General features: G+C 41.1%; 1 protein-coding gene and 1 pseudogene across 45 annotated transcripts in view; both read left to right on the top strand.

The window, feature by feature from the left end:
• ACBD5 (acyl-CoA binding domain containing 5) overlaps positions 1–12672 on the top strand; it is a 59274-nt gene that overhangs the window by 36524 nt on the left and 10078 nt on the right. For 32 of the 45 annotated variants that reach the window (NM_001301253.2, NM_001352580.2, XM_017016894.3 and 29 more), the window contains 3 exon segments: positions 340–390; positions 1039–1148; positions 8146–10374. In NM_001301253.2, the coding sequence (NP_001288182.1) occupies positions 340–390; positions 1039–1148; positions 8146–8158 (174 nt within the window). In that variant the 3' untranslated portion in view covers positions 8159–10374. 45 annotated transcript variants of the gene reach the window in all.
• On the top strand, positions 12088–12230 carry RNU2-24P (RNA, U2 small nuclear 24, pseudogene; annotated as a pseudogene).

Below are 12672 nucleotides of genomic sequence, written 5' to 3'. Positions count from 1 at the left end.
AAGACTGTAAACATAAGAGTTTAGATTGATTTGAGGTTTTATTTTCATAGTCTTATATAATTTGAACTAAAAATATAAAGCATTAAAGTATTGTTTGGCTTGCTGTTTTAGGGAACTTGTCCTTTGGTAAGTATTAGTTTCAGGATAATCAAAGTATAGTTAGCAGAAAAATACTGAATAAACTAATATTTCTACGTTCCAACTGTTCTATACATAAAGAAAACAAAAGCAACCAAAAAAAACCTCAATATTTCTGCCTTTTAAAAAAAGATAGGAAATAGAATAATTACTGTGTTTTTCATTTTTTCAAGGCTAAGTCACCTTCATTTGCATTTACAGGCAAAATCATCAACATCAACATTGCAGACTGCTCCTCAGCCCACCTCACAGGTAAGACATTTTTTAAAAAATTTAAATGCCAGGGTTTCATATGTTTTTTGTTGTTGTTTTTGTTTTTGTTTGATACGGAGTCTCGCTCTGTTGCCCAGGCTGGAGTGCAGTGGTGCGATCTCAGCTCACTGCAAGCTCTGCCTCCTGGGTTCACGCCATTCTCCTGCCTCAGCCTCCCGAGTAGCTGGGACTACAGGTGCCCGCCACCACACCCGGCTAATTTTTTGTATTTTTAGTAGAGACAGGGTTTCACCATGTTAGCCAAGATGGTCTCGATCTCCTGACCTCGTGATCTGCCCACCTCGGCCTCCCAAAGTGCTGGGATTACAGGTGTGAGCCACCGCGCCCGGCCCATGGTTTCATATGTTACAATACATTTAGAATATACAAAATCTTTAAATCATTCCAAATGAAATCTACCTTTGCAGTTAAAAAATACTTGTTTTGTGTTTATTTAAGTCTGAACTACTCCTGAAAGCCTGTTTCCTGAATTATACTCTGAAATGCAGAATATCTTTCTTCTTTCAGCAGGAGTGAGATTTGTTACTAATTTTCTTTTCTACTTTCAAAATTATGAATTAGGTATGTTTTTAAGTTTATACATGCAGTATTGAATAGATTGGTGACAAGCTTATTGTATTTTCTCAGAGACCATCTTGGTGGCCCTTCGAGATGTCTCCTGGTGTGCTAACGTTTGCCATCATATGGCCTTTTATTGCACAGTGGTTGGTGTATTTATACTATCAAAGAAGGAGAAGGTAAGACCAGTTTCATCATTTGAAATGGTGTATAACTCTCATAACCTATAGTAGACAGAGTTTTCAGCAGCAATTAAGGGATGCTAGGTCCATTTTATAGATACATCGTCATAGTGAACATTCTATATTTATCCTGAGACTGAAACTGCCTTGGAAATGATATCTTGTGGATTCCTAGGTACTTGTTAGACTTAAAAACATTTTCACTTGAGAGCATCTGATGGATTTATACACCTTTGATTTAGGCAACCACACAAAAATGACTACATGCATCTTTTTTTTTTTTTTTTTTTTTTTTTTTGAGACTGGGTCCCGTTTTGTTGCCCAGGCTGGAGGGCAGTGGCTGTTCACAGGCATGATCATGTGCACTGAAGCCTCAGATTCCTTGGCTCAAGTGATCCTTTCTGCCTCAGCCTCCTGAGTGGCTGGGACTACAGGCATATGTCACTGGGTGCGGTTTATATGCATTTTAAATTTTATGGTTTGTGAGGAAACAGTGTTCTGAAAGGCACGGTGGCTCACACCTATAATCCCAGCACTTTGGGGAGGGCGAAGCAGGAGGATTACTTGAGCAAAGGAGTTCGAGACTAGCCTGGGCAACATAGGGAGATGCTGTCTCTATTTTAAACAATTAATTAAAAAGGAATTTGGAGGTACTTTTATTTTTTTAATTTATTTTATTTTATTAATTTATTTTTTTGAGACAGAGTTTTGCTTTTGTTGCCCAGGCTGGGGTGCAGTGGCACGATCTCAGCTCACTGCAACCTCTGCCTCCCAGGTTCAAGCGATTCTCCTGCCTCAGCCTCCCAAGTAGCTGGGATTACAGGCATGTGCCATCATGCCCAGCTAATTTTTGTATTTTTAGTAGAGATGGAGTTTCATCATGTTGGCCAGACTGGTCTCAAACTCCTGACCTCAGGTGATTTGCCCGCCTTGGCCTCCCAAAGAGCTGGGATTACAGGCACGAGCCACTGTGCCCATCCGGAGGTTACTTTAATTTAAGGGCCAGATTTCCAGTTTGGGATGACAAGGTACCTCAAATAGGTCAGAAAATAATAGATTGGAATCCCTGAAAGTAATTCTGAGTCTGTCCATGTTAGGAATAACCTGAGGCCAAACCCTTGGATTCAAGAAAATCCTTAAATCTAAAAAGTTGCCAGGTGCAGTGGCTCATGTCTATAATCCCGGGACTTTAGGAAGCTGAGATGGGTGGATTGCTTGAGCCCAGGAATTCAAGAACAGCCTGGGCAAGAAAGTGAGACTGTCTCCACAAAAAATTTAAAAAATTAAATAAAAAAATTAGCCAGGTTGGTGGTGCACACCTCTAGTCCCAGATACTCGGGAGGCTGAGGCGGGAGGATCAACTTGAGCCCAGGAGGTTGAGGCTGCCCTGAGTCATGATCATGCCACTACACTCCAGCCCGGGTGACAGAGTGAGACTGTCTCAAAAAAAAAAAAAAAAAAAAAAAAGAGGATATAGACCTGAATTTAAATCCTTTCTTTTCTTCTTCTATACATTTTCAATTCCTCCTATGATGGTTGGGTTTAGTGCTCTACAGTGTTTTACATTTAAATATCCCTGGTAATAGGAAAGAAGAACCAACCGTTTGTTAGATATGTAGTAATGCTGGATATAAGCAGCAGGGCTCAGTGCCACTGCTGCTTATGGGGAGATGTTTACATATTTTTAATGCATCTCAAAGTTCCTTTTCATGTTTCCGTTGTAGAAAGTTGGGAGTTGGAGAGTAGAGGAATTTGCTTAAAAAAAAAACTCTAAAGCTTACTTTGGTTAATAATTTATTTTATGCTTAAGATGGAAGCAGCTTATTACTTCATTAAAGATTGAAAAAACAAACTACACTCTACATCAACAGTCACATAAAATTGGAGTTTTTCTAAAAATGTTTAAAATGTTCTTTACTAATAGAAGTTTTGTAAAAGGTTGTTCACTATTTCTCCTAAATATCCCTTTTAGCTGTTCACAGATGTCTCTGAATGGAGAAACGCTTTCCTATTTTTAATTTTCTACTTGGTTATTATTGAACCTTTATAAGTTTTTTACTGTATGTTAACTGTTTGATCCTTCCAAACTGCAAATTCTGTAGCACTGTGCAACTTCATTTTGACGAGGTATAGTGTTTTTACATATTGTTTGCTTATATATGTAATAGATTAACTGTGGTTGGAAGTAGGGCCATATTTGATATGGTGGAAATAAGTTTTAGCCTTGAGGGGATTTAGGCATCTTTTAATCTAACATTGTTTAGCAATTTTTAATCTGATAGTTAAAGGAATGAAGACCAGAGAGCAGTTGTATGGTTTGGAAGAGATAGGTTCTGTGTTAGAGATGAGAAGAAAGGTCTAGAAATCTGATTAGGATGGGGAAAGTGTGGGCAAGTAGAGGGTGTGCCCTACTCATAATAGGGATCATCCTATAGCTCATCCCCAAAACAGTGTCTGGCATGTAGTAGGTGCTCAATAAATGTGTGTTGAGTCTATGACTGAATCCCTTTTTGGGCAAGATGGCAAACGGAAGTACCATAAGACATGGAAAAGCTTTCATTTTATTGAATAAATATGCATGTGGACACAGACATACTAGGATATGTCTGATAGATAGATATAGGGTAGTCCTATATATGTATAAAACATATAGGACTGGAGGCTGGAGTGCACTTGCGTGATCTCGGCTCACTGCAACCTCTGAGTCCTGGGTTCAAGTGATTTTCCTGCCTCAGCCTCCTGAGTAGCTGGAACTACAGGCATGTGCCACCACGCCCAGCTAATTTTTGTATTTTTAGTAGAGACAGGGTTTCGCCATGTTGACCAGACTGGTCTTGAACTCCTGATCTCAGGTGATCCAGCCGCCTCGGCTTCCCAAAGTGCTGGGATTACAGGCATGAGCCAGCACACTCAAGCTGTGATAAGCTTTTGAAAATAAATATCTTTTCCTTCAACATTAAAATTAATACATAAAGTCTGCTGGTTTTTTTTCTAGCGTAGAATAATATAAATTTAAAAGTAAAAGAGATTTCTTATGCTATCACTCTGCAGTGGATCAGAAGAAAATTCTGTATGTGATAGGAAGAACAATACCTGCAGACTTCTTGTTCAGAAATAGGCCCTGAACAGTCTCCTGTGGTAACACCTGTCCCTGGTTGTCTAGCCTGACAACTCTGCTATTAAAATTATCCTTGAGTTAAAATACCGAAAGCAGACCTGTTAAGTCTAAGAAACTACTCTTAAACTATTACTTTGTTTATTTATTTATCTATTTGAGACAAGGTCTCACTCTCTTGCCTGGGCTGCAGTGTAGTGGTACAATCAGAGGTCATTGCAGCCTCAAACTCCTGGGCTCAAGCAATCCTGCTGCCTCAGCCTCCTGAGAAGCTGGGACTATAGGCAGGTGTCAACTAACTGTCTTATTTTTGTTGAGATGGGGGTCTCACTATAATGCCCAGGCTAGTCTTGAACTCCTGCCCTCAAGAGATCCTCCCACCTCAGCCTTTCTTGTACTGGGATTACAGGACTGAGCCACCATGCCTGGCCTAAATTATTATTGTTACAAGAAAGGGGCCCCAATCCAGACCCCAAGAGGGAGTTCTTGGATCTCACACAAGAAAAACTTTAGGGCAAGTCCATAAAGTAAAGTGAAAGCAAGTTTAAGAAAGTAGAGGAATAGGCCGGACGCGGTGGCTCACGCCTGTAATCCCAGCACTTTGGGAGGCCGAGGTGAGCCGGTCACCTGAGGTCAGGAGCTCGAGACCAGCCTGACCAACATGGTGAAACTCTATCTCTACTAAAAATACAGAAATTAGCTGGGTGTGGTAATCCCAGCTACTCGGGAGGCACCTGTAATCCCAGCTACTCGGGAGGTTGAGGCAGGGGAATTGCTTGAACCCAGGAGGCAGAGGTTGCAGTGAGCTGAGATCGTGCCACTGCACTCCAGCCTGGGTGACACAGTGAGACTCCATCTCAAAAAAAAAAAGAGAGAAAAAAGAAAGTAGAGGGATAGAATAATGGCTGCTCATTGCCCATTTTTGTGGTTATTTCTAAACAAGGGGTGGATTATTCATGCCTCCCCTTTTTAGACCATATAGGGTAACTTCCTGACGTTGCCGTGGCATTTGTAAACTGTCATGGCGCTGGTGGGAGTGTAGCAGTGAGGACGACCAGAGGTCACTCTCATCACCATCTTGGTTTTGGTGGGTTTTAGCCAGCTTCTTTACTGCAACATGTTTTATCAGCAAGGTCTTTATGACCTGTATCTTGTGCCGACCTCCTATCTCATCCTGTGACTTAGAATGGCTTAACCTGAGAATGCAGCCCAGTAGGTCTCTGCCTCATTTTACCCAGCTCCTATTCAAAATGGAGTTGCTCTGGTTCACATGCCTCTGACATTACTTTGAAGGAAAGGATGTTTCTAACCAGTTTTCCTTTTTTTTTTTTCTTTGCGACAGTCTTGCTCTGTCGCCCAGGCTGGATTGCAGTGGCGTAATCTTGGCTTACTGCAAGCTCCGCCTCCCAGGTTCACGCTATTGTCTCTCAGTCTCCCCAGTAGCTGGGACTACAGGCGCCCGCCACCACGCCCGGCTAATTTGTTTATATTTTTAGTAGAGACGGCCAGGATAGTCTCGTCTAACCAGTTTTCTTAAGCAGCCTGCCCAGATTCCTAAATTGCTATCATGTAATCTTCTTGGGGACATTCAGCCTTCAGTAGAGAGGTAATAAATACAAACTTGTTGGGAGTGGGGAGGGTCTCAGGAGGATTATTCTCCAAATGGAGCCTAGGGCAGAAGGCACTGACACAAAAAGTCAGGCCCTGGCTTCTGAGGAGGGGAAGGAATTGCAGCAGTGCAGCTAGAGCAGCATTCACCGCGGCGAAGGGAAAGGCAGAATTTATTCCTGTTCCCTTATCTGTTGTTTCCTGTGACTTTTCTTCTATCACACTATACCCTCCATTTTGCAAGTTGATTTAAAACAAAACAAAACAGAAAGACCTCACAAAGAGCCTGAAAACAATTCTAAAGTTCTGAAGACAGTGATTTATGTTCACTCTATTACCTTAGAAGACTGGGAGTTCAGGCTGGGCACGGTGGCTCACATGTGTAATCCCAGCACTTCAGGAGGCTGAGGCAGCAGAATAGCTTGAACCTAGGAGGTGGAGGTTGCAGTGAGCCGAGGTCGCGCGCCACTGCACTCCAGCCTGGGCGACAGAGCGAGACTCCATCTCAAAAAAAAAAGAAAAAAAGATTGGGGGTTCATCGAGACCAAATTTTCTGCCCTTTTTAATTTTTTTAATTTTTATTTATTTGTATATTTATTTATTTTGAGACAGAGTCTTGCTGTGTCACCTAGGCTGGAGTGCAGTGGCCCGATCTCAGCTCACTGCAACCTCCGCCTCCCAGGTTCAAGCGATTCTCCTGCCTCAGCCTCCCAAGTAGCTGGGACTATAGGTGCGTGCCACCATGCCCTGCTAATTTTTTGAATTTTTAGTAGAGACGGGGTTTCACCGTGTTAGCAGGATGGTCTTGATCTCCCAACCTCGTGATCCGCCCGCCTCGGCCTCCCAAAGTGCTGGGATTACAGGCGTGAGCTACAGTTCCGGCTTTGTCTGCCCTTCTATAAATCTGCAAAGGATTGTGTGTAGTAATCTGCATCCCGCAGATTCTTAATAAGTGTTGCTAATTGTTCAGGCACCCTGAAGCTAACATTTTTGCTAAAACCTCACTCAGGCAGGTTGTCTTTACAACCCACATCTCTCTTGTCTTTGTCAACCATTTCAATTCTCTTCCTCCAGGGGCCTGTTTTCTTTATGCTGCTGGGATCTCCTTCTGTTTTGTGAAAGTTGATCTGACTATTTAAAATGTCACTCCTGCCAAGGAGGTGTACATAAGAGGATTTCTGCAGAGGATAAGGAATGATCTGATTGTTTAAAATATCACTCCTGCCAAAGGAGTTGCATAAGGGTATTTCTACAGAGAGGAATCAATCTGTTATGAGAGTTTCAGGCATTTTGGCATCTTGAGTGCTGGGGAGGGTTTGTAGATTTTAGAGCAGAACTCAGATCATATGTGATGGTGTAAGGTGCTAACAAGCTCAGCCTTTTCTGATAGCTCATTCACTCTTCTGTCTTTGAAACCATCATATTATATATATCCAAGTTTGGGATTTATATGCCTCTTCCTCCCCCACCACCTAAACTGAGAGCTGTCTTGAGGCCTGAGAGCCTGCCTCATTTATCTCTGAATGCCCAGGGCCTGGCACAGAGCCTGGAAAGTAATAGAAACATAATCCATGTTGATTAAGTGAATACTCCAGGTCGTACATCTATTATCCTCTTACAGTTTTGTTACGCATTTGTTTCATAACTTTTCCATTTTGATAAAATTATGAAATCATTTCCACAAATCTTAATTGTGTAATAGCCAATTAGAAAAGGGTAAGAATCTAGAAAGTAAGAGAGGATGAATGTACATTTAAATTATTTATTAAAAACTGGCCAGGATGGCTGGGCGCCATAGCTAACGCCTGTAATCCCAACACTTTGGGAGGCTGAGGTGGGTAGATCACCTGAGGTCAGGAGTTCAAATGGCGAAACCTCGTCTCTATTAAAAATACAGAAATTACCCAGGTGTGGTGGCACACACCTGTAATGCCAGCTACTTGCAAGGCTGAGGCAGGAGAATCGCTTGTACCCGGGAGGCGGAGGGTTGCAGTGAGCCAAGATGGCACCATTGCAGTCCAGCCTGGACGACAGAGCAAGACTTTGCCCCAGTAAATAAATAAATAAATAATTTAAAACTGTTTGGTAATTTCAGCACTTGTAATTGGATCTTTCCTATCAGGCTGCAAGTCATATGATGTAGTTCTATAAAGACTGTTGGTAATATTATGGTTTTATTTTGAATTTGTATGTTATTATTATTATGTTACCATCCAGAGAATTATTTGCATTCATACTCACAGGAAATTGGTTTTTATTTTCTTTTTAAAGAAAACTGAACTGAGGAAAATGGTGTTTTCCTCAAGAAGACTACTGGAACTGGATGACCTCAGAATGAACTGGATTGTGGTGTTCACAAGAAAATCTTAGTTTGTGATGATTACATTGCTTTTTGTTGTCCAGTAGTTTAGTTTGTGTACATATATACACATATATATTTTGCACTACACAAACGATAACATTTTAAGGACTAATATTGCTGATACTTGAATAATCAATCTCTACTAGGTTATAAGTAGTATACACAGATTTACCCTGCCCTTGAACTTGAAGGACATTAAATTATTAATGATCATTTGGTAACATGTTTACCTGATTATCTTCCATAGAGTAACATAAGCTGCTTTTCAAAGGTACCATTGTGATAATGAGATCAAATTTATAAGTTATTATTTTTAATTTTCTAAATTAAATAAAAGAAAGAATGCAAACCAGGAGTGAATTTCAAATGAGATGTAATCGACTTTATATCTTAGTCACGGAGTTGCCATGGCATGTAGTAGAAAACCACAGGAAGAATGGTCATATTCACTTTGTGGGCTGCCCATAATCTTTCTTGGGCATTCACAACTCTTGAGTTTGGTGTTCAGGCATCATTATTAAAAAGTGGAGTCCTATGTACCAGACTGAGTTTTTACAAATGATTTGCAGGCTAGACATAACCCACTGATGGAAATGGTGAAGAATGAGCTTCATGTAGGTTTAAAAGTGTATTCTGAGCCTGTAGATGATTAATCAGGTTTTTATTCAATCATATAAATGTATTCCTTTGTAATCATTTTTGTTTAACTGAGGATATCTAGTGTCTGCTTCATAGGGTGCTTTGAAATATAAAATGAAAACTTATTTATACTGTTTTTACAACAGTCAAAAAGGAAACACACGAAAATCACTTTTCTGCAACTGATGAACTATATAGACTGGACTCTTAACCTCTTAGTGCCTCAGTTTTTCCTTCGGGGTATACTATTTTAGATACACCTACTTCACAGGAGTACTGGAGGGATTTGCAAGCTAACGGGCCAAATGCTTCCATAGGAATAAGGCATGCCCAGCTAACAGAAATTTAAGTCCCTCTTCCCCACCTCTCTCATCTAGACCAAAAAGAAGACTACAATTTAGATCCTTGGAGACTTTTCCTGTATGCCTTCCAAAACTTCCTGCTCACTTAGATGTACCTTGTGCTTTGAAGATTTCTTTGATGCAGTCTTTGTAACAAATAATTTTTTTTTTTAAATGGAGTTTCTCTCTTGTTGCCCAGGCTGGAGGGCAATGGCGTGATCTTGGCTCACTGCAACTTCCACCTCCTGGGTTCAAGTGATTCTCCTGCCTCACTCCCAAGTAGCTGGGATTACAGGCATGCACCACCATGCCTGGCTAATTTTGTATTTTTAGTAGAGACGGGGTTTCTCCATGTTGGTAAGGCTGATCTCAAACTCCCAACCTCAGGTGATCTGCCTGCCTCGGCCTCCCAAAGTGCTGGGATTAGAGGCGTGAGCCACTGCACCTGGCCTGTAGCAAATAATTTTTAAGCATTCTCAAGATGTATGATGTTGGGTTTAACATCATATGTTCACAGTGTTTTAAATAAGAAATAATCTGTCTTTAGTATACAGAATGGTTCTTTGTTTGCCTGAAAAGTATAAGAATACAATTTACTTTTCCCAAACTCTTTTTCCTTATTTTTTTCTTTCAAATAACTTTAATTATTTAATCCCATACTGATTAAAATATGTCTGTCTAAAGGGATCTACTACTATTTGCTTTTAAAAAAGTGTTCCCTATTTATTTAGGAAAAAGTGAAGCAAGCAACTGAATTTATATGTAAAAATAACATTTAGACCTGTGGATCAAAGATTATTTTCAAAAATGAGATATCAATTTGGTATCAGTAAAAAGTGTCTTTTCTCTTAGTATATAAATAAATAAAATGCAAATTAAGAGTGTAAGCAGTTGTGAATCATTACAAGCAGTCTGGGATAACTAACTCCTAGGGATAACCATTTCTATCCTGTTCCAAAGTCTTATTTTATAGTTTGAAAAGCACTTTGCACACAGTTCTTGTATATAAAAGTAAAGATGTAATTATAGGATATAGTGTTCCTGCTTTGTTTAATAAGAACCTCATTTAAACTTGACAGCTATGGTATTTTTTTAATGATAACTTCTTTTCTGTTTATTGTAAAACTAAGTTAAAAATAAAAGGTTAATGAGAAATGATATGGCTTTTATTACTTGTTACTATTAGCCCATTGATTAGGTAAGAATTCAATGAGAGTAAGTAGTAGTCGCACATAAAGTAATTATGACTCTCAAAATAAAGCCATGCTATTCCACACAATTTGATAAAAATCAGAAACTGGGATGAAATTTAACTTATTTAGTCATCTGGTTGAGAATATTAGCAATCCAGTCAGATTCTTGGTTTTACTTTTTTTTGAGACAGAGTCTCGCTCTGTTGCCAGGCTAGAGTGCAGTGGCGTGATCTCGGCTCACTGCAACCTCCGCCTCTCAGGTTCAAGCGATTCTCCTGCCTCAGCCTCCCGAGTAGCTGGGAGTACAGGCACGTGCCACCACTCCCGGCTAATTTTTGTATTTTTAGTAGAGACGGGGTTTCACCACGTTGGCCAGGATGGTTTCCATCTCTTGACCTCGTGATCTACCCGCCTCGGCCTCCCAAAGTGCTGGGATGACAGGCGTGAGCCACTGCACCCAGCCGGTTTCAGTTCTTACACCAAATAAATAGCTTCCCACAGCCACACAATGAACCCTAATCAACCATCTTATTATTATTATTATTATTATTATTATTATTATTATTTGAGATGGAGTCTTGCTCTGCCGCCCAGGCTGGATTGCAGTGGTGTGATCTCAGCTTACTGCAACCTCTGCTTCCCAGGTTCCAGTGATTCTCCTGCCTCAGCCTCCCACATAGCTGGGATTACAGGCACCCACCACCACACCTGGCTAATTTTTTGTACGTTTAGTAGAGACGGGGTTTTGCCATGTTGGCTAGGCTGGTCTTGAACTCCTGACCTCAGGTGATCTTCCTGCCTCTGCCTCCCAAAGTGCTGGGATTACAGGCGTGAGTCACCGCACCCAGCCCTAATCAACCATCTTAAATACACATCTCTGGTCTTATGTGGAAAATGATGAGAGGGTTTTTTTTTTTTTTTTTAATTGAGACGGAGTTTCGCTCTGGTTGCCCAGGCTGGAGTGCAATGGTGCCGTCTCGGCTCACTGCAACCTCCACCTCCCAGGTTCAAGTGATTCTCCTGCCTCAGCCTCCTGAGTAGCTGGGATTACAGGCATATGCCACACTCCTGGCTAATATTTTGTATTTTTAGTAGAGACAGGGTTTCTCCATGTTGGTCAGTCTGGTCTTGAACTCCCAACCTCAGGTGATTCACCTGCCTCAGCCTCCCAAAATGCTGGGATTACAGGTGTGAGCCACCGCGCCTGGCCTGGGTTTTGTTTTTAATACCCATCTATGACTTGTAACTTCTACAGAGTAATAAAAGTGATGTATCATTTAAGGTATCATTATTCTGCTTCATGTAATAGAAACCCAGCTGTGGTGGCTTGACCAAGTAACTGGGTCTTTTCCTTCGATATAAGTCTGGAGATAGAAGTCCAGGGCCGGGAAGGTGCTTCCACAATGCCATTAGGTAGACAGGCTCCTCCTGTCTTTCTTTCTCCCATCTTTAGTGTGTAGCTTTTATCTTCATGCTTGCAAGATAGTGAAGTACATTTAGATCTAATGTCTACATTATAGGCAGGCACAGAGTGAAGCGCAGAAAGCAATTAACAGTTGTATTTTTCCATCTGATCAGGAAACAGTAACTTTCTTGAAAGTCCCACACAGGAGACTCCTCACATCTCATTGGCAAGAACTGGCTCTCATAGTTATATTTTTGTATACAAAATTATTTAATCACTTCTTAGCCTTTTGGCTAAGATCAAGGGTAGTATCAGTTCTTATCAGTTCTTTTTTTTTTTCTCTCTTTTGAGACAGAGTCTCGCTCTGTTGCCCAGGCTGGAGTGCAGTGGCGCAATCTCGGCTCACTGCAACCTCCGCCTCCCAGGTTCAAGCAATTCTCTTGCCTCAGCCTCTCAAGCTGGGATTACAGGTGCCAGACACGTTGCCTGGGTAATTTTTTTGTATTTTTAATAGAGACAGGGTTTCTCCATGTTGGCCAGGCTGGTCTCAAACTCAGGTGATTAACTTGCCGCTGCACTCCAGCTTGGGAAACAGAGCAAGACACACACACACACACACACACACACACACACACACACACACACACACACACACACACGAAGGAAGGAAAGAGAGAGAGGAAGGGAGGGAGGGAGGGAGGAAGGAAGAAAAGAAAGAAAAACATAAAAAAAGAGAAATAGAGAAATTTCCTCACTTGTTTCAATTCTTTAACATGTGTTGAAGAGAACTTTTTTTTTTTTTGAAACGGAGTCTCACTCTGTCACCCAGCAGGCTGGAGTGCAGTGGTGTGATCTCGT

Source organism: Homo sapiens, chromosome 10 (genome assembly GCF_000001405.40).
Source record: "Homo sapiens chromosome 10, GRCh38.p14 Primary Assembly".
NCBI classification, from domain to species: Eukaryota; Metazoa; Chordata; class Mammalia; order Primates; family Hominidae; genus Homo; species Homo sapiens.
The sequence above is the reverse complement of the archived record's forward strand: the minus strand, read 5'-3'. Positions and strand labels throughout refer to the sequence as shown.